This window comes from Homo sapiens, chromosome 8 (assembly GCF_000001405.40).
Source record: "Homo sapiens chromosome 8, GRCh38.p14 Primary Assembly".
Lineage (NCBI taxonomy): Eukaryota > Metazoa > Chordata > Mammalia > Primates > Hominidae > Homo > Homo sapiens.
In genome coordinates, this window is record NC_000008.11 from 7,708,058 (window position 1) to 7,728,999 (window position 20,942).

Below are 20,942 nucleotides of genomic sequence, written 5' to 3' on the forward strand. Positions count from 1 at the left end.
CTCTCTGATGCATACAATGGAAAAGGCTTTGTCAGATCGGGTAGCCTCAGGGCTGGTGCTGCCAGAAGTTTTTCCTTTAACTCATGAAATACTTGCTGTTGTTGGGATCCTCATTCCAAAGATTCCCCGTCCCCGTCCCCCTTGTGACCTCATACAAAAACTTGGCTAATACTGCAAAGTTTGGGATCCACAGTCTACAAAACCCCACAGCTCCTAAGAATTCTCCTACCTGCCTTCTGCTCTTAGGCTCCGCTAGATGGCAAATGACCTGCTTTCTTTCTGATCTCGGGCTGCGTTCCGACCCCTGTCGGATAGTAAATCCCAAGTAACGTACCTGCTGTCGGCAGATCTGAGCTTTCTTCTTGGACACCTTCTACCCACAGTCCTCCAGGTGCGGTGTAGGGCATCTGTTCCCTTGGCACACCCGACTGCCGTGGGGTGTCCCAGCAGAAGGTCATCAACCTACTGGAGCAACAAGCAGCCTAGGTCTCTGCTAGGAAACTTCTGGAGGTCTCGATCCCATGCCTCCCCGAAGATGGTGGGGGAGTTCTTGAACCTTTGGGGAAGCCCGGTCCAAGTGTACTAAGTAGTGACACCTGACTCCGGATCTTCCCACTGAAAGGCAAACAGCTTCTGCCTCTCAGGGGCTAATCTGATAGGAAGGAAAGCGTCTTTTAGGTCCAAGCAGGTGAACCAGCTGTCCTCAGCTGGCGGCAACCCCAACAATGTGGACGGGTTAGGTACTGTTGGATGTAAAGTCAGTGTGGCTTGATGAAGCAAGCGCAAATCCTGTACCGGCCGGTAGTCCTTGGTCCGTGGCTTGGGAACAGGCAGGAGGGGAGTGTTCCATGGAGACTGACAAGGAACAATCATTCCAAACGTTCTTAGGTGCTTGAGATGGACCTGGATACCTTGAAGGGCTTCTCTGGGGACCGAGTCCTGTTTTTGCCTCACCGGCTGGGCCCCAGTCTTAACTGGCCAATCCTGGAGGGTTCTCTTCTGCCCGAACTCTTGGCCAGCGCTTAGCCAGAGCTGGTCTTTTCTCTTTGCCCGGGTCAGTTCAGAAAAGTCTCCATTCCTCCTCTCGGGGGACCATAAGCGTCATAATGACTCCCATTCCGGGTAACTTTAGCAGCAAAGAGCCGTGCTCTGTGAAAGAGGCAGTGGCTCTCAGCTTGCTGAGCAAGTCCCTTCCTGAAAAGTTCAAGAGACTGTCAGGCATGTAACAAAACTGATGAATGACTTTATGTCCTCCTACAGGACAAGTCCAAGGCAAGCAGAAAGCTTGCTTTGCTGAAACCCCCGTGGCTCCGATGACGTCAGTAGTCTTTTTCGGTAAGGGGACGACCGGGGCGGTTACTAGCGAATGTTCAGCACCGCTATCTACAAGAAAGTTAATGTCTCCACCCCTGACTGTCATTCTGAACAGATGTCAGAATGGGGATGCTTGAGCCCGGTCTCCCTCAGTCCAAGAACCCTTCCGCCAGGTTGAGCAGGGCCCCTTCCTCCTTGTCCGGGGCCTCCGGCTCTGAGTCACCTTCTTTTCTTTTGAGCTGAGGGCATTTGTTCTTCCACTGTCCTATTTCTTTACAATCAGCACACTGGTTACGCTGCAAACTCTGACAGCCAAGCTGAGTTTCTTTCCCAGGGCCCCCTTTCCCTTGCCTCTTTGCGGGGGCCCCTCTGATTGCTGCAGCTGACAAACAGGTCGGCGTGTGGCCGGGCCTGACCTCCATTCTCTTTGCCGTTTTCCTTACGGCTTACTGCATACCTGTTTACAAACACCTGGCTAGCTATTTCTAGTAATTGGGATGGATTCTTCCCTGCAAGCCCAGTCTGTTTCTGCAGTTTTCTTCTCATGTCTTCTGCACTTTGATGGACTAAAGCCATGTGAATCATGCGCTGATTTTCAGGGCTATCGGGATCAAAGGGAGTATACATATGATAGGCCTCATACAGTCTCTCGTAGAATTGTGCTGGACTTTCTTCTTTTCCCTGAATGACCTCAGAGAGCTTGTTAACGTTTGTGGCCTTCTGAGCTCCCCTCATTAATCCTTCCAAGAGAGCTTCCCTGTCTCGGTTTAGCCTTTGCATCTCCTCTCTTTCATGTGGGTCCAACTGGGGGTCGGTTCCTGGCAACTGGGTCCTTCCATACTGTTCGGGGTTTTGATAATCAGCTGGTGCATGTTCCTCTAGCCACTTAGTTGCTGCTTGGAGGACTCTCTGCCTTTCTTCACTGTTAAAGAGGAAAATGAGCAACTGGTGCCAATCGGTCCAGGTGTGGTTGTGGGTCTGGATAACAGTTTGGAGCAAATCAATTAGGGCTTGTGGCTTTTCGGTATAGGGCGATGTATTGTTTTTCCAGTTGAGAAGGTCGACGCAGGTGAAGGGCTGGTACCCAAAAACACGTCTCTCCACTACATGAGCATTTTCATCTATCCCAGTATACCGCTGCTCTCTCAGGGGCATTTGTGTCCCCGTTTTGGGTCGTAAACGAGCTGCCGAGGAAGGGGTGGAATGGCGCAATGCGACTTACCGCAATTAATAATCTCAATTATTAACTGACACTAATAATTATCAATATTAATAACCCATAATATAATTTTAAAAATCAATACGGATACTAATGATAATTAATATTAAATAGTTATACTAACAATAACAATACATGATTAATATTGATGATTATGACGCCTGATATTAATAACTGATACTGATCTTATTCTTTAGAAAATAGTAATATTAGCTCCTAATAATTAATATTAATATTAATAATCTGAGAACTTTTTATTAGCAATTACTTCTTAATATTAATATTAATATCGGCCATTCATATTCATGTTAATAAAAAACAAGGAATAATTCATACTAATAGTATGCCCTAATACCTCAGTGGGTGTACACCCACCTGTGATATTGTTCCTAATGTTCAGGGAGGGAGAGAGCATGATATTACGTTCAATATCGCAGCAGGTGCACACCCAGCCGGTGATATTGATCCGAATATAATCTCCAGGGGGTGGAGTATGACATTACTCCCAATATAGCACTGGGTGTGCATCCACCCGGTGATTTTGTTCCTAATATTCATGGAAGAAGAGAATGCTATTACTCCCAACATCGTAGGAAGTGTACACCCCCGTGTGACGTGGTTCTTAATAATATTCCAAGGCGGAGGGGGTGATATGACTACACATATGGCAGAAAGTGGACACCCCCAAGGATATTGTTCCCACGATCCTGGAGGGAAGAGGATGATATTGCTTTCAGTATCACAGAAGTTGGACACGCCCCCACTGATATTGTTTGTAATTGCAACGTGGGAGAGGAGGATATGACACGCGATATCCGAGGGAGTAGAAACACCCCTGTGATACTGTTCTTAATATTCAGAGAGGGAGAGGATGATATGACTCCCAATACAGACGGTTGTACAACCTCTGTACGCCGGGGTGAACACTGGTGGGTGAAACAGTTCACAATCTCCAGAGCGGGAGACGATATTACTCACAATATGATAAACAGGCTGTGAGTCCACCGCGGATCCTAAAAACCAGGGGGGCAAGAGGGGTTAGCTCTTCCTCTGCGCATGGCGGGGCGTGCCTCACCCCCTGCGATGGGGGTCCTAAGAGCCAGGAGGTAAGATGGGAAGGCTCTTAATACCCGCATCAAGGGGCGTGCCTCACACCACTGCGATGGGGGTCCTGAGAGCCAGGGGGGCAAGAGGGGCTGGCTCTTACCCCAAGCATAGCAGGACGTGACTAACCCCGCTGCGATGGGGGAAACTAAGAGCCAGGGGGGCAAGAGGGTTTGGCTCTTACAACCCGAAACGGGGGGAGTGCCTCACAACCTGCGATGCGGGTCCTAAAAGCCAGGGAGGCAAGGGGGGATGCGGGAGACAGTGGCTGTCCTCCATCTAAATTGCAAGAGGCTTTCCTCTTTGACTAATCCACCTCGGCACAGACCCTTTACGGGTCTCAGGCTGGGGGACAGTCAGGTATTCCCCATCCCACAGGGCCATATTTCAGACTGTTACATGGGGAGAAACCTTGGACAATAACCTGCTTTCAAGGGTAGAGGTCGCTGCGGCTTTCCACGGTGCATAGTGCCCCTGGTTTATTGAAACTAGAGAATGGCAATGACTTTTACCAAGTATACTGCTTGTAAACATTTGGTTAACAAAGCACATCCTGCACAGCCCTAGATCCCCTAAACCTCGATTTTATACAACACAGGTTTTTGTGAGCTCCAAGTTGGGTCAAAGGGGCTGGGGCAAAGTGGATGAGGCAAGGCAACAAATGAACAACATCTCAGCAAAGCAATTGTTTAAACTACAGGTCTTTTTCAAAATGGAGTCTCTTATGTCTTCCCCTTCTACATAGACACAGTGACAGTCTGATCTCTCTTTCTTTACCCTACATCCAAGGGCTTGAACATTTCTTGACTTGTTGGCAATCCAAATCGTTACGTCTCCGAAACAGAGTTGACTGAGGGGACCGCAGGGCTGGGCAGGACCTTTGACTTGCTATACATCCACAGGAGCAAGAAAACCTCAGCCCCACTCTACCAACACGCACCTAGTAAAATCCCGCCAACCGCATCTCACGCACGCTAACACGTGGGGAGCGTTGCTTGCACCACGAGTCCCCATTTGGCTCAACCGCCGATGCCAAGTGTGTGGTTCCAGTTGCGACGGCCCCCCGTGAAGTGGCTTCCGGATGTGCGAAGGAACCAGGCAGAGTTTCACTGGCCAAATAGACCCCAGCAAAGCTGAAGTTAACTCCCACATTTGGGATGTACTTCAGAGGTAAAACATTCATCCCGTCTTCTTTCCGGATGTCTGACACCATGGTTCTCCCCCTGATCCTAAGAGTAGCTGAGGTAGAGACTCACTGAAAGATCTAGGCAGGGATATCCCATCATGCACAGGCTCTCTCCATTCTCTGACCTGGGAACAACTCTCAGCAGGATTCCACATCTAGGAGGCCTCGGAACTCAGTGGGATTTTCTGAGACACACCAACTGGCTGCTCCCTCTCCGCCGCTGTTGAGGGTCGTTATCTTGATTATCCAGATCACCTAGAAAGTATCCGTATCCAGAATGAATAAGATCAACTCTCTGCTCCTCTGACAGCAGAGGGAGCAGGACCATAAGGAACCAAAGAGCGTGGAAGGAAACGATGTGACAGGAAAGCTCAGAGAACGGCCACAGGGGGTCGTCAGCAGGCCTTCCAACCTGAATCATGAATAATTAATGAAGCGCAAATCAAAGGGGACTGGAGTTTCAGCAGGAGCAATTCATCCAACGGGAGATCGCCGGAGGGCCAACAAGATTGAGAGACTGGGAGCCGGGTGCAGTGTCAAAGGGGACGCGACTGGTTCCAAAGCTCGAGAAGACCATGGGGTCACTTGGGCTACATGAGAAAACGCCCCAGTGTGCTGGTTCATCATTCCGACTCCTGCCTGTCTCTTCCCGTCCAAGGAACATGGACCCTAAGTCGTGCAGGTGCGGATGACCATGGGCAGAATTAGGGGCCGTGGCACAAAAGTTCACCGACACGGGAGTTCCACAGAAGGTGCGGTGGATCTTCGCAAATCCAGAGACATGGCAATGGGACCCAGGGAATTACAGCCTCACAGGCGTCCGGGAGTCGCAAGACGAGCTGAAAAAGGAGGCAGGCACTGAAGGACAAAGCGTTGTTGACTTTCCTCATCTGTGTTTCCCAGTGCGGTCCAATTCACGGTGGTTTCCAAGCGCCTCCTGGGGGAGAAAACACATGAGGGTGCGGTCAGGGTTCTCTGCTGACAGACTTACCTTGGGGAAGAAAGAGAAGCTCTGAAGATGGATCATGGCCGTGACTGCATGTCAAGGAGAGTCTCCTTGATGACACTGAGGCCTACGTCGAGAGAGACAAAATGTGGTCCAATTAAAAGGTGTCTATTTTACCACATTTTTTAAAACGAAACAAAACAAAACAACAAAAAAGATGGAAAAGAAGACAGGGATACAGGCACCAGTGTTACATGTCTGACGGGGAACATCTATTGTTCAAAGCTTGCAGCTGTACAAGTAGGTTTTAGAATGTCTGTCAGCAGTGGACAGGATCTTAGAGTGGGCTGTGCAGATAGACCTTTCCAGGTCATGTAATTGGATTAAGTTAATTGCAATTAAGGTACAGGTAACTGATTAGGTTAGGGTACGTTCCATGTCAGGTGACCAGAGGCAGTATAAAAGGCAGCCTGGAAAGCAGAGGTCCCTCTCCGCCCCTTCCTCCGTCGTCCTGGATGCTGCATCGCTTCCAGCGGGGCTGCTGCAGCACCTGCCCATCTCAGCGCCAGCCTGGGAAAGAAAGTAGACGTGTAATTTCAGGTTGGTTTCGCTGAACAATTGTTTCTTTCACGCAATCCCTGGGGGGTTTTTGCGGGGGGTGGGGGGGAGGAAGAGACAAAGGAGGCCGAAAGAAACCGATCACACTGGGGCTTGCTGGTGGGGTAGGATGTGTTCTCGTTACTAGTAATTCCTGGAACAGAAAACGAGAAAACATATCCGTCTCCACGTGTGGGAGAAGACCAAGATGGGAATGCGAAAAGAAATGTACTGCAGCATGCTGAATTGGTGGGTAAACGGCAAAAGGACTTTGGAAAAAAGGGTGGTTGGCCCTTGAGCCGTGTAAGACGTCGATACGATATGGCACTTCTTCCCCGTTTGTTCAGATGAATTCGTGTGGTATGCGTAAAATACCAGGAAAATAAATAAAGAGGGGCTGGAGCTAAAGCCAAAAGATAGAACAGGAAAGACCATCACCTGCTAGTGCGGTAGAGAGGAAGGTAACTTCTCTGTATGAATTTGTGTTTGGAAGTTGCCTAATGAAATGGCAAGAGTAGCGATTCAAGTTGTCACAGGAAGCATCCCTTATCCCTGACTTCAAGCAGACCTGCCAAAGGGTGGCACACGCCATGCCCTGTGTCTTCGATCATTCTGTCCGTCAAGGGAGATAGAATCACCGTGTCTTCTACCGGAGTGAATCGTGAGAGACCTAAGTCCAGTCTCCAGAATCAGTTGTTTGTTTGGGGTTGAAAGCTCAACCCCCCATACCTAGGCCACGGGCCCTGTGGCAGGTGGGGTTTACTCTTGGACTAGGTAGTCATGGCAGAGGAACACACAATATCCGAGAATGCGCACAGCACATTGTGTTCTACAGATTTGACCGACTGGTGGTGAGGTCTCCTCATGACCACACAGGCAGGGAGTTAGCAGGTGGCTTCCTGTGGGTGTGTGAATATCCAACGTGCTTAACCATCGACATGTGTGTGTTTGTGTGTGTTTCAGGTGGCCCAACAGTCCACCCCTGAAAAAGGCGGTCATAAAACCCCCAGGAGACGAAGATGATGGCACGTCGGGACCCCACATCTTGGGCCAAGAGACTGGTGAGAGCCCAGACCCTCCAGAAGCAGCGGAGGGCCCCAGTTGGGCCAAGGGCTCCCCCGCCCGATGAAGAAGATCCCAGGGTAAGTCTAGCCCTGGATCTCTTGGGTATCGGGGTGGGGGTGGGGACGGGGGGAGGGGGTGTCCCACGGTCCTCAGAGACTGGGTTGGATTCCAAAGAGTTCTGTCACCACCAGCCAGGTTGCTTTTCCCATCCAAGGTGGGCGTGGCTTGGGACCTTCTCCCCGGCCCGATAGGTCCCTTGAGAGACTCTTGGGGGCAACCTCCCTTTCTACTTAGAGTCCTGTGTAGCCACGTTTGGCTGCGTTGTTGACATCGGCTTCACCATCGTGCCCCTTGGAACCTTGAGTCCTTCCTTTCAGAGTTCCTCCGTCACACGGGCTTTGCGAGGGAACATCGTATCCGAACTCTCCCAGCACTTAACGGCCCCCATGCCGGTGTCCCCTCTTTGGAATCCTTATTCAGCTCTGAATTCACAATCCGTCCCAATGTTGACGTGGGATCGCTGCCTGTGGCTTCAGCTCACTCACTGACATCACTTCCTTTCCACCCACAGCTCAAGTGCAAAAACTGCGGGGCCTTTGGCCACACGGCCAGAAGTACCAGGTGCCCCATGAAGTGCTGGAAGGCAGCCCTGGTTCCAGCGACCTTGGGGAAAAAGGAAGGGAAGGAAAACCTGAAACCATGGAAGCCCCGGGTTGAAGCCAACCCGGGGCCCTTGAACAAGGATAAGGGAGAGAAGGAAGAGAGACCAAGGTGAGCAGTGGGAGGGGTTTTCACCACTCTTAGGATGCTGCCTCCTAAGGACATGGTGTCTCTGCACCTGCACACCGTGTGCCTTTCCGTCTCCGGGCCAGGGAAGGAGCGCTGCAGAGAAATAGGCCGGAGCTCCGTGTCCTCCGGGGTTCCACACCCAGGAGCTCCTTGGGCTCTGGGAGATTCAGGGACGGGGAGAGGCGGGGGCGCTTCGTGCAGGTTCCCCACGACAGGGGGAAAAGCGATGGAATCCAAATCACAGTCCTTAGTTCGGAAGCCTAGAGGGCCACCTGGAGGATGGGAAGGTTGGCACGTGAGGGAAGGTGCAGAGGCGGAAAGGGCACCAGATGTCCATTTCTGTATCACAAAACACGGAATGGGGCTGGGCCCCAGACGGGGTTCTCCCTGTCTCCTGGGGAAAACCAGGGGGCACGGCCTGACCTTTTTCTGTTCTGCAGGCAACAAGACCCGCAGAGGAAGGCTCTCCTCCACATGTTTTCCGGGAAACCTCCAGAGAAGCCGCTGCCGAATGGAAAAGGATCCACGGAACCTTCTGATTATCTGAGGGCGAGTGTCACCCCGGGCCCCTGGTCTTTTTCTCCTCTAGGTCACCCTGGTTGATTTCCTTTCAGCTTCCCGTCTGCGGGAGGAAATCGGGGAACCCCTCTTTCTTGCCTTCTTGGGGTCAGGGACTCCACGATCCTTCCAGGTCAATTGGATTCCAGGCGAAGGCATCTGAACATGCCGTATTTCCTGTTGCTTTCTTTCTGTCCAATTATGGCAAGCCTGCCAACAACACGTTCCTAGCGGCATGAGGAAATTAGTCCCTCAGAGGCCCCAAACGTGGAGAAGGCGAAACCCAGGAACATGCATGTGTTCAGAGAAGACGTCCCGAGTACCCTTGAGCCAGCAACCTGCCTTGGGAAGGGCATTAGTCCGTTCCACTTCATGGAAGGCTGAGTGGAGGCGCTTTGATCCAGTTAATGCCCAAGACGCGATCTTTTGAACAATGGTGTGCTTAGATCAGCTACACATAGCTCGAGAGCGCATCTTTCATGTGTCTTGTCCTGATCAGCACTCAGGTGGAGGGTCTGTCCCTACTTCCAAGGACCGCCTGTCGATACTGTACTAAGAATTTCATGGCGTGTGCACCTTGTCTTTGGATGTGCTTGATTTTCACGTTGGCTCCATGCTGAGGAACTTCTAACCTGTGTTGTTTCCTCTCTTTCAGGTTGCAAGCGGGCCAATGCCGGTCCACACAACCAGTAAGAGGCCGCGCTTGGACCCTGTCCTCGCTGATCGCTCAGCTACCGAAATGTCTGGCAGGGGCTCCGTCTTGGCTTCACTGTCTCCCCTCAGAAAAGCCAGCCTGAGCTCCTCCTCAAGTCTTGGACCAAAGGAAAGACAGACAGGGGCTGCGGCCGACATGCCTCAGCCTGCAGTCAGGCACCAGGGCCGCGAGCCTCTCCTCGTGGTGAAGCCGACACACAGCCGCCCCGAGGGTGACTGCCGAGAAGTTCCCCAGGCTGCCTCCAAAACCCACGGCCTGCTCCAGGCCGCCAGACCCCAGGCACAAGACAAACGTCCTGCGGTGACCTCACAGCCCTGCCCGCCAGCCGCCACACACAGCTTGGGCCTAGGCTCCAATCTCAGCTTCGGGCCAGGAGCCAAGAGACCTGCCCAGGCTCCGATTCAGGCTTGCCTGAACTTCCCCAAGAAACCGAGACTGGGTCCCTTCCAGATCCCCGAAAGCGCCATCCAGGGAGGTGAGCTGGGGGCCCCGGAGAATCTCCAACCTCCGCCAGCCGCAACCGAACTTGGACCAAGTACGTCGCCCCAGATGGGCAGGAGGACACCGGCCCAGGTGCCCAGCGTCGACCGGCAGCCTCCGCACAGCAGACCTTGCCTGCCCACTGCCCAGGCCTGCACCATGTCCCATCACCCAGCGGCCAGCCATGATGGGGCCCAGCCTCTCAGAGTGCTCTTCCGGAGACTGGAAAACGGACGCTGGAGCTCCAGCCTCCTGGCGGCCCCCTCATTTCACTCTCCTGAGAAGCCGGGAGCCTTCCTCGCTCAGAGCCCTCATGTGTCAGAGAAGTCTGAGGCTCCCTGTGTTCGTGTCCCACCGAGCGTCCTCTATGAGGACCTTCAGGTTTCCTCCTCCTCAGAGGACAGCGATTCTGACCTGGAGTGAGACTGCAGGTGGCAGGGGCTCCTTGGCCTCCAGCTCCCGTGACTTGGAGGGGACTGTGGGACTGAGGAGCGCAGAGCAGAGAGCAGACTCTGTGCGGTGACTCCGAAGCTCCCCGGCTGTGGCGCTTCTGTGGATGTGGGAGCCCAGGCCAGGCAGGGAGCAGATGCAGGGACTCTGCCTCATTGAATTCTGGTGAGGGACGTTGTAGTTGGCGTGGTTCTCCCGAAACGCGCCAGGAAAAGCTTCCGTGCCAGAGATTCGTTGCCTCAGAAACTGCGTGACGCGCAGGAGTCAGACTTCCGCTGGGACGTCAATAGGAAACTGGGGAATTACTGTGTATTTGCTCTCTAGATGACTGAATAAGGGAAAAGTTAGGGAACCCTGAGAGGTGCAGCCCTTCCTCTGTGCCCCGCCCTGAGAGCAGAGTTTCGGACGCTGGGAAGCGTGCTGTGTGAAGCGCTCTCGGGGTCTTTCCTCAGCCTCGAAAACTGGGCTCTGGAATGCCTTTGTACATATGTGTGTTTAATTGGTTTTGAAGTGAATAAAATTCTCAAAAAGATGACATATTGTCTTTTGACTCTCATTCCGTGTTTGTGTGTAACTGATTTTCCAAGTGAAGGGGTGGCCTGCCCCTCCACACCTGTGGGTGTTTCTAGTCGGGTGGGATGAGAGATGGAGAATAGAAATAAGACACAGAGACAAAGTATAGGGAGACAACAGTGGGTCCAGGGGACCGGCACTCAGCACACCTAGGACCTGCACCGGCACCGGCCTCTGAGTTCCCTCAGTTTTTATTGATTATGATTATCATTATTACAGCACAAAGGAATGCAGTAGGGGAGCAGGGTGATAATAAGGGGAAGTTCAACAGCAACAACAAAAACAAACACGTGAGCAAAAGAATCCATATCATTATTAAGTTCAAGGGAAGGTACTATGCCTGGACGTGCACGTAGGCCAGATTTATGTTTCTCTCCACACAAATATCTCAGCGGAGTAAAGAATAACAAGGCAGCATTACTGCCAACATGTCTCGCCTCCCGCCACAGGGCAGCTTTTCTCCGAGCTCAGAGTTGAACAAATGTACGATCGGGCTTTACACCGAGACATTCAGTTCCCAGGGGCAAGCAGGAGACAGTGGCCTTCCTCCATCTGAACTGCAAGAGGCTTTCCTCTTTGACTAATCCACCTCAGCACAGACCCATTGCGGGTGTCAGGCTGGGGGACAGTCAGGTCTTTCCCATCCCACGAGGCCATATTTCAGACTGTCACATGGGGAGAAACCTTGGACAATACCCTGCTTTCAAGGGCAGAGGTCCCTGTGGCTTTCCACGGTGCATTGCGCCCCTGGTTTATTGAGACTAGGGAATGGCAATGACTCCTACCAAGTATACTGCTCGTAAACATTTGGTTAACAAGGCGCGTCCTGCACAGCCCTAGATCCCTTAAACCTCGATTTTATACAACACAGGTTTTTGTGAGCTCCAAGTTGGGTCAAAGGAAGGGGCTGCGGCAAAGCTACAAATGATCAACATCTCAGCAAAGCAATTGTTTAAACTACAGGTCTTTTTCAAAATGGAGTCTCTTATGTCTTCCCCTTCTACATAGACACAGTGACAGTCTGATCTCTCTTTCTTTACCCTACATCCAAGGGCTTGAACATTTCTTGACTTGTTGGCAATCCAAATCGTTACGTCTCCGAAACAGAGTTGACTGAGGGGACCGCAGGGCTGGGCAGGACCTTTGACTTGCTATACATCCACAGGAGCAAGAAAACCTCAGCCCCACTCTACCAACACGCACCTAGTAAAATCCCGCCAACCGCATCTCACGCACGCTAACACGTGGGGAGCGTTGCTTGCACCACGAGTCCCCATTTGGCTCAACCGCCGATGCCAAGTGTGTGGTTCCAGTTGCGACGGCCCCCCGTGAAGTGGCTTCCGGATGTGCGAAGGAACCAGGCAGAGTTTCACTGGCCAAATAGACCCCAGCAAAGCTGAAGTTAACTCCCACATTTGGGATGTACTTCAGAGGTAAAACATTCATCCCGTCTTCTTTCCGGATGTCTGACACCATGGTTCTCCCCCTGATCCTAAGAGTAGCTGAGGTAGAGACTCACTGAAAGATCTAGGCGGGGATATCCCATCATGCACAGGCTCTCTCCATTCTCTGACCTGGGAACAACTCTCAGCAGGATTCCACATCTAGGAGGCCTCGGAACTCAGTGGGATTTTCTGAGACACACCAACTGGCTGCTCCCTCTCCGCCGCTGTTGAGGGTCGTTATCTTGATTATCCAGATCACCTAGAAAGTATCCGTATCCAGAATGAATAAGATCAACTCTCTGCTCCTCTGACAGCAGAGGGAGCAGGACCATAAGGAACCAAAGAGCGTGGAAGGAAACGATGTGACAGGAAAGCTCAGAGAACGGCCACAGGGGGTCGTCAGCAGGCCTTCCAACCTGAATCATGAATAATTAATGAAGCGCAAATCAAAGGGGACTGGAGTTTCAGCAGGAGCAATTCATCCAACGGGAGATCGCCGGAGGGCCAACAAGATTGAGAGACTGGGAGCCGGGTGCAGTGTCAAAGGGGACGCGACTGGTTCCAAAGCTCGAGAAGACCATGGGGTCACTTGGGCTACATGAGAAAACGCCCCAGTGTGCTGGTTCATCATTCCGACTCCTGCCTGTCTCTTCCCGTCCAAGGAACATGGACCCTAAGTCGTGCAGGTGCGGATGACCATGGGCAGAATTAGGGGCCGTGGCACAAAAGTTCACCGACACGGGAGTTCCACAGAAGGTGCGGTGGATCTTCGCAAATCCAGAGACATGGCAATGGGACCCAGGGAATTACAGCCTCACAGGCGTCCGGGAGACTTTTCAGGCATAATGCCTGGAGTCGCAAGACGAGCTGAAAAAGGAGCCAGGCACTGAAGGACAAAGCGTTGTTGACTTTCCTCATCTGTGTTTCCCAGTGCGGTCCAATTCACGGTGGTTTCCAAGCGCCTCCTGGGGGAGAAAACACATGAGGGTGCGGTCAGGGTTCTCTGCTGACAGACTTACCTTGGGGAAGAAAGAGAAGCTCTGAAGATGGATCATGGCCTTGACTGCATGTCAAGCAGAGTCTCCTTGATGACACTGAGGCCTACGTCGAGATAGACAAAATGTGGTCCAATTAAAAGGTGTCTATTTTACCACATTTTTTAAAACAAAACAAAACAAAACAACAGAAAAGATGGAAAAGAAGACAGGGGTACAGGCACCAGTGTTACATGTCTGACGGGGAACATCTATTGTTCAAAGCTTGCAGCTGTACAAGTAGGTTTTAGAATGTCTGTCAGCAGTGGACATGATCTTAGAGTGGGCTGTGCAGATAGACCTTTCCAGGTCATGTAATTGGATTAAGTTAATTGCAATTAAGGTACAGGTAACTGATTAGGTTAGGGTACGTTCCATGTCAGGTGACCAGAGGCAGTATAAAAGGCAGCCTGGAAAGCAGAGGTCCCTCTCCGCCCCTTCCTCCGTCGTCCTGGATGCTGCATCGCTTCCAGCGGGGCTGCTGCAGCACCTGCCCATCTCAGCGCCAGCCTGGGAAAGAAAGTAGACGTGTAATTTCAGGTTAGTTTCGCTGAACAATTGTTTGTTTCACGCAATCCCTGAGTGGTTTTGGCGGGGAGGGGCGGGGGGAGGAAGAGACAAAGGAGTCCGAAAGAAACCGATCACACTGGGGCTTGCTGGTGGGGTAGGATGTGTTCTCGTTACTAGTAATTCTTGGAACAGAAAACGAGACAACATATCCGTCTCCACGTGTGGGAGAAGACCAAGATGGGAATGCGAAAAGAAATGTACTGCAGCATGCTGAGTTGGTGGGTAAATGGAAAAAGGACTTTGGAAAAAAGGGGGGTTTGCCCTTCAGCCGTGTAAGACGTCGATACGATACGGCACTTCTTCCCCGTTTGTTCAGATGAATTCGTGTGGTATGCGTAAAATACCAGGAAAATAAATAAAGAGGGGCTGGAGCTAAAGCCAAAAGATAGAACAGGAAAGATCATCACCTGCTAGTGCGGTAGAGAGGAAGGTAACTTCTCTGTATGAATTTGTGTTTGGAAGTTGCCTAATGAAATGGCAAGAGTAGCGATTCAAGTTATCACAGGAAGCATCCCTTATCCGTGACTTCAAGCAGACCTGCCAAAGGGTGGCACACGCCATGCCCTGTGTCTTCGATCATTCTGTCCGTCAAGGGAGATAGAATCACCGTGTCTTCTACCGGAGTGAACCGTGAGAGACCTAAGTCCAGTCTCCAGAATCAGTTGTTTGTTTGGGGTTGAAAGCTCAACCCCCCATACCTAGGCCACGGGCCCTGTGGCAGGTGGGGTTTACTCTTGGACTAGGTAGTCATGGCAGAGGAACACACAATATCCGAGGATGCGCACAGCACATTGTGTTCTACAGATTTGACCCACTGGTGGTGAGGTCTCCTCATGACCACACAGGCAGGGAGTTAGCAGGTGGCTTCCTGTGGGTGTGTGAATATCCAACGTGCTTAACCATCGACATGTGTGTGTTTGTGTGTGTTTCAGGTGGCCCAACAGTCCACCCCTGAAAAAGGCGGTCATAAAACCCCCAGGAGACGAAGATGATGGCACGTCGGGACCCCAAATCTTGGGCCAAGAGACTGGTGAGAGCCCAGACCCTCCAGAAGCAGCGGAGGGCCCCAGTTGGGCCAAGGGCTCCCCCGCCCGATGAAGAAGATCCCAGGGTAAGTCTAGCCCTGGATCTCTTGGGTATCGGGGTGGGGGTGGGGACGGGGGGAGGGGGTGTCCCACGGTCCTCAGAGACTGGGTTGGATTCCAAAGAGTTCTGTCACCACCAGCCAGGTTGCTTTTCCCATCCAAGGTGGGCGTGGCTTGGGACCTTCTCCCCGGCCCGATAGGTCCCTTGAGAGACTCTTGGGGGCAACCTCCCTTTCTACTTAGAGTCCTGTGTAGCCACGTTTGGCTGCGTTGTTGACATCGGCTTCACCATCGTGCCCCTTGGAACCTTGAGTCCTTCCTTTCAGAGTTCCTCCGTCCCATGGGCTTTGCGAGGGAACATCGTACCCGAACTCTCCCGGCACTTAACGGCCCCCATGCCGGTGTCCCCTCTTTGGAATCCTTATTCAGCTCTGAATTCACAATCCGTCCCAATGTTGACGTGGGATCGCTGCCTGTGGCTTCAGCTCACTCACTGACATCACTTCCTTTCCACCCACAGCTCAAGTGCAAAAACTGCGGGGCCTTTGGCCACACGGCCAGAAGTACCAGGTGCCCCATGAAGTGCTGGAAGGCAGCCCTGGTTCCAGCGACCTTGGGGAAAAAGGAAGGGAAGGAAAACCTGAAACCATGGAAGCCCCGGGTTGAAGCCAACCCGGGGCCCTTGAACAAGGATAAGGGAGAGAAGGAAGAGAGACCAAGGTGAGCAGTGGGAGGGGTTTTCACCACTCTTAGGATGCTGCCTCCTAAGGACATGGTGTCTCTGCACCTGCACACCGTGTGCCTTTCCGTCTCCGGGCCAGGGAAGGAGCGCTGCAGAGAAATAGGCCGGAGCTCCGTGTCCTCCGGGGTTCCACACCCAGGAGCTCCTTGGGCTCTGGGAGATTCAGGGACGGGGAGAGGCGGGGGCGCTTCGTGCAGGTTCCCCACGACAGGGGGAAAAGCGATGGAATCCAAATCACAGTCCTTAGTTCGGAAGCCTAGAGGGCCACCTGGAGGATGGGAAGGTTGGCACGTGAGGGAAGGTGCAGAGGCGGAAAGGGCACCAGATGTCCATTTCTGTATCACAAAACACGGAATGGGGCTGGGCCCCAGACGGGGCTCTCCCTGTCTCCTGGGGAAAACCAGGGGGCACGGCCTGACCTTTTTCTGTTCTGCAGGCAACAAGACCCGCAGAGGAAGGCTCTCCTCCACATGTTTTCCGGGAAACCTCCAGAGAAGCCGCTGCCGAATGGAAAAGGATCCACGGAGTCTTCTGATCATCTGAGGGTGAGTGTCACCCCGGGCCCCTGGTCCTTTTCTCCTCTAGGTCACCCTGGTTGATTTCCTTTCAGCTTCCCGTCTGCGGGAGGAAATCGGGGAACCCCTCTTTCTTGCCTTCTTGGGGTCAGGGACTCCACGATCCTTCCAGGTCAATTGGATTCCAGGCGAAGGCATCTGAAGATGCCGTATTTCCTGTGGCTTTCTTTCTGTCCAATTATGGCAAGCCTGCCAACAACACGTTCCTAGCGGCATGAGGAAATTAGTCCCTCAGAGGCCCCAAACGTGGAGAAGGCGAAACCCAGGAACATGCATGTGTTCAGAGAAGACGTCCCGAGTACCCTTGAGCCAGCAACCTGCCTCGGGAAGGGCATTAGTCCGTTCCACTTCATGGAAGGCTGAGTGGAGGCGCTTTGATCCAGTTAATGCCCAAGACGCGATCTTTTGAACAATGGTGTGCTTAGATCAGCTACACATAGCTCGAGAGCGCATCTTTCATGTGTCTTGTCCTGATCAGCACTCAGGTGGAGGGTCTGTCCCTACTTCCAAGGACCGCCTGTCGATACTGTACTAAGAATTTCATGGCGTGTGCACCTTGTCTTTGGATGTGCTTGATTTTCACGTTGGCTCCATGCTGAGGAACTTCTAACCTGTGTTGTTTCCTCTCTTTCAGGTTGCAAGCGGGCCAATGCCGGTCCACACAACCAGTAAGAGGCCGCGCGTGGACCCTGTCCTCGCTGATCGCTCAGCTGCCGAAATGTCTGGCAGGGGCTCCGTCTTGGCTTCACTGTCTCCCCTCAGAAAAGCCAGCCTGAGCTCCTCCTCAAGTCTTGGACCAAAGGAAAGACAGACAGGGGCTGCGGCCGACATGCCTCAGCCTGCAGTCAGGCACCAGGGCCGCGAGCCTCTCCTCGTGGTGAAGCCGACACACAGCAGCCCCGAGGGTGGCTGCCGAGAAGTTCCCCAGGCTGCCTCCAAAACCCACGGCCTGCTCCAGGCCGCCAGACCCCAGGCACAAGACAAACGTCCTGCGGTGACCTCGCAGCCCTGCCCGCCAGCCGCCACACACAGCTTGGGCCTAGGCTCCAATCTCAGCTTCGGGCCAGGAGCCAAGAGACCTGCCCAGGCTCCGATTCAGGCTTGCCTGAAATTCCCCAAGAAACCGAGACTGGGTCCCTTCCAGATCCCCGAAAGCGCCATCCAGGGAGGTGAGCTGGGGGCCCCGGGGAATCTCCAACCTCCGCCAGCCGCAACCGAACTTGGACCAAGTACGTCGCCCCAGATGGGCAGGAGGACACCGGCCCAGGTGCCCAGCGTCGACTGGCAGCCTCCGCACAGCACACCTTGCCTGCCTACTGCCCAGGCCTGCACCATGTCCCATCACTCAGCGGCCAGCCATGATGGGGCCCAGCCTCTCAGAGTGCTCTTCCGGAGACTGGAAAACGGACGCTGGAGCTCCAGCCTCCTGGCGGCCCCCTCATTTCACTCTCCTGAGAAGCCGGGAGCCTTCCTCGCTCAGAGCCCTCATGTGTCAGAGAAGTCTGAGGCTCCCTGTGTTCGTGTCCCACCGAGCGTCCTCTATGAGGACCTTCAGGTTTCCTCCTCCTCAGAGGACAGCGATTCTGACCTGGAGTGAGACTGCAGGTGGCAGGGGCTCCTTGGCCTCCAGCTCCCGTGACTTGGAGGGGACTGTGGGACTGAGGAGCGCAGAGCAGAGAGCACACTCTGTGCGGTGACTCCGAAGCTCCCCGGCTGTGGCGCTTCTGTGGATGTGGGAGCCCAGGCCAGGCAGGGAGCAGATGCAGGGACTCTGCCTCATTGAATTCTGGTGAGGGACGTTGTAGTTGGCGTGGTTCTCCGGAAACGCGCCAGGAAAAGCTTCCGTGCCAGAGATTCGTTGCCTCAGAAACTGCGTGACGCGCAGGAGTCAGACTTCCGCTGGGACGTCAATAGGAAACTGGGGAATTACTGTGTATTTGCTCTCTAGATGACTGAATAAGGGAAAAGTTAGGGAACCCTGAGAGGTGCAGCCCTTCCGCTGTGCCCCGCCCTGAGAGCAGTGTTTCGGACGCTGGGAAGCGTGCTGTGCGAAGCGCTCTCGGGGTCTTTCCTCAGCCTCGAAAACTGGGCTCTGGAATGCCTTTGTACATATGTGTGTTTAATGGGTTTTGAAGTGAATAAAATTCTCAAAAAGATGACATATTGTCTTTTGACTCTCATTCCGTGTTTGTGTGTAACTGATTTTCCAAGTGAAGGGGTGGCCTGCCCCTCCACACCTGTGGGTGTTTCTAGTCGGGTGGGATGAGAGACGGAGAAAAGAAATAAGACACAGAGACAAAGTATAGGGAGACAACAGTGGGTCCAGGGGACCGGCACTCAGCACACCTAGGACCTGCACCGGCACCGGCCTCTGAGTTCCCTCAGTTTTTATTGATTATGATTTTCATTATTTCAGCACAAAGGAATGCAGTAGGGGAGCAGGGTGATAATAAGGGGAAGGTCAAAACAACAACAAAAAACAAACACGTGAGCAAAAGAATCCATATCATTATTAAGTTCAAGGGAAGGTACTATGCCTGGACGTGCACGTAGGCCAGATTTATGTTTCTCTCCACACAAATATCTCAGCGGAGTAAAGAATAACAAGGCAGCATTACTGCCAGCATGTCTCGCCTCCCGCCACAGGGCAGCTTTTCGCCGAGCTCAGAGTTGAACAAATGTACGATCGGGCTTTACACCGAGACATTCAGTTCCCAGGGGCAAGCAGGAGACAGTGGCCTTCCTCCATCTGAACTGCAAGAGGCGTTCCTCTTTGACTAATCCACCTCAGCACAGACCCATTGCGGGTGTCAGGCTGGGGGACAGTCCGGTCTTTTCCATCCCACGAGGCCATATTTCAGACTGTCACATGGGGAGAAACCTTGGACAATACCCTGCTTTCAAGGGCAGAGGTCCCTGTGGCTTTCCACGGTGCATTGCACCCCTGGTTTATTGAGACTAGGGAATGGCAATGACTCCTACCAAGGATACTGCTCGTAAACATTTGGTAAACAAGGCGCGTCCTGCACAGCCCTAGATCCCTTAAACCTCGATTTTATACAACACAGGTTTTTGTGAGCTCCAAGTTGGGTCAAAGGAAGGGGCTGCGGGAAAGCTACAAATGATCAACATCTCAGCAAAGCAATTGTTTAAACTACAGGTCTTTTTCAAAATGGAGTCTCTTATGTCTTCCCCTTCTACATAGACACAGTGACAGTCTGATCTCTCTTTCTTTACCCTACATCCAAGGGCTTGAACATTTCTTGACTTGTTGGCAATCCAAATCGTTACGTCTCCGAAACAGAGTTGACTGAGGGGACCGCAGGGCTGGGCAGGACCTTTGACTTCCTATACATCCACAGGAGCAAGAAAACCTCAGCCCCACTCTACCAACACGCACCTAGTAAAATTCCGCCAACCGAATCTCACGCACGCTAACACGTGGGGAGCGTTGCTTGCACCACGAGTCCCCATTTGGCTCAACCGCCGATGCCAAGTGTGTGGTTCCAGTTGCGACGGCCCCCCGTGAAGTGGCTTCCGGATGTGCGAATGAACCAGGCAGAGTTTCACTGGCCAAATAGACCCCAGCAAAGCTGAAGTTAACTCCCACATTTGGGATGTACTTCAGAGGTAAAACATTCATCCCGTCTTCTTTCCGGATGTCTGACACCATGGTTCTCCCCCTGATCCTAAGAGTAGCTGAGGCAGAGACTCACTGAAAGATCTAGGCGGGGATATCCCATCATGCACAGGCTCTCTCCATTCTCTGACCTGGGAACAACTCTCAGCAGGATTCCACATCTAGGAGGCCTCGGAACTCAGCGGGATTTTCTGAGACACACCAACTGGCTGCTCCCTCTCCGCCGCTGTTGAGGGTCGTTATCTTGATTATCCAGATCAACTAGAAAGTATCCGTATCCAGAATGAATAAGATCAACTCTCTGCTCCTCTGACAGCAGAAGGAGCAGGACCATAAGGAACCAAAGAGCGTGGAAGGAAACGATGTGACAGGAAAGCTCAGAGAACGGCCACAGGGGGTCGTCAGCAGGCCTTCGAACCTGAATCATGAATAATTAATGAAGCGCAAATCAAAGGGGACTCGAGTTTCAGCAGGAGCAATCCATCCAACGGGAGATCGCCGGAGGGCCAACAAGATTGAGAGACTGGGAGCCGGGTGCAGTGTCAAAGGGGACGCGACTGGTTCCAAAGCTCGAGAAGACCATGGGGTCACTTGGGCTACATGAGAAAACGCCCCAGTGTGCTGGTTCATCATTCCGACTCCTGCCTGTCTCTTCCCGTCCAAGGAACATGGACCCTAAGTCGTGCAGGTGCGGATGACCATGGGCAGAATTAGGGGCCGTGGCACAAAAGTTCACCGACACGGGAGTTCCACAGAAGGTGCGGTGGATCTTCGCAAATCCAGAGACATGGCAATGGGACCCAGGGAATTACAGCCTCACAGGCGTCCGGGAGACTTTTCAGGCATAATGCCTGG

At 52.8% G+C, this 20,942-nt stretch overlaps 2 protein-coding genes and 1 pseudogene across 2 annotated transcripts; all 3 read left to right on the forward strand.

Moving 5' to 3' along the window:
* LOC124901865 (translation initiation factor IF-2-like) overlaps positions 1-20,942 on the forward strand; it is a 451,468-nt pseudogene that overhangs the window by 94,334 nt on the left and 336,192 nt on the right.
* Positions 7,386-10,396, forward strand: FAM90A14 (family with sequence similarity 90 member A14). Its single transcript, NM_001164452.1, has 4 exons — positions 7,386-7,508; positions 8,003-8,202; positions 8,661-8,769; positions 9,434-10,396. The coding sequence occupies exons 1-4, from the start codon at positions 7,386-7,388 to the stop codon at positions 10,394-10,396; spliced, it is 1,395 nt and encodes a 464-aa protein (NP_001157924.1).
* On the forward strand, positions 15,034-18,044 carry FAM90A18 (family with sequence similarity 90 member A18). The gene is made up of 4 exons (NM_001164451.1): positions 15,034-15,156; positions 15,651-15,850; positions 16,309-16,417; positions 17,082-18,044. The coding sequence occupies exons 1-4, from the start codon at positions 15,034-15,036 to the stop codon at positions 18,042-18,044; spliced, it is 1,395 nt and encodes a 464-aa protein (NP_001157923.1).

Excerpts from the sequence above, each read along its gene's own strand:
- FAM90A18 (NM_001164451.1), top strand. The coding sequence starts at position 15,034 with ATGATGGCACGTCGGGACCCCAAATCTTGGGCCAAGAGACTGGTGAGA. Across the intron at positions 15,157-15,650 it reads CCGATGAAGAAGATCCCAGG|CTCAAGTGCAAAAACTGCGG; the intron begins GTAAGTCTAGCC and ends TTCCACCCACAG. Across the intron at positions 16,418-17,081 it reads AGTCTTCTGATCATCTGAGG|GTTGCAAGCGGGCCAATGCC; the intron begins GTGAGTGTCACC and ends CCTCTCTTTCAG.
- FAM90A14 (NM_001164452.1), top strand. The coding sequence starts at position 7,386 with ATGATGGCACGTCGGGACCCCACATCTTGGGCCAAGAGACTGGTGAGA. Across the intron at positions 7,509-8,002 it reads CCGATGAAGAAGATCCCAGG|CTCAAGTGCAAAAACTGCGG; the intron begins GTAAGTCTAGCC and ends TTCCACCCACAG. Across the intron at positions 8,770-9,433 it reads AACCTTCTGATTATCTGAGG|GTTGCAAGCGGGCCAATGCC; the intron begins GCGAGTGTCACC and ends CCTCTCTTTCAG.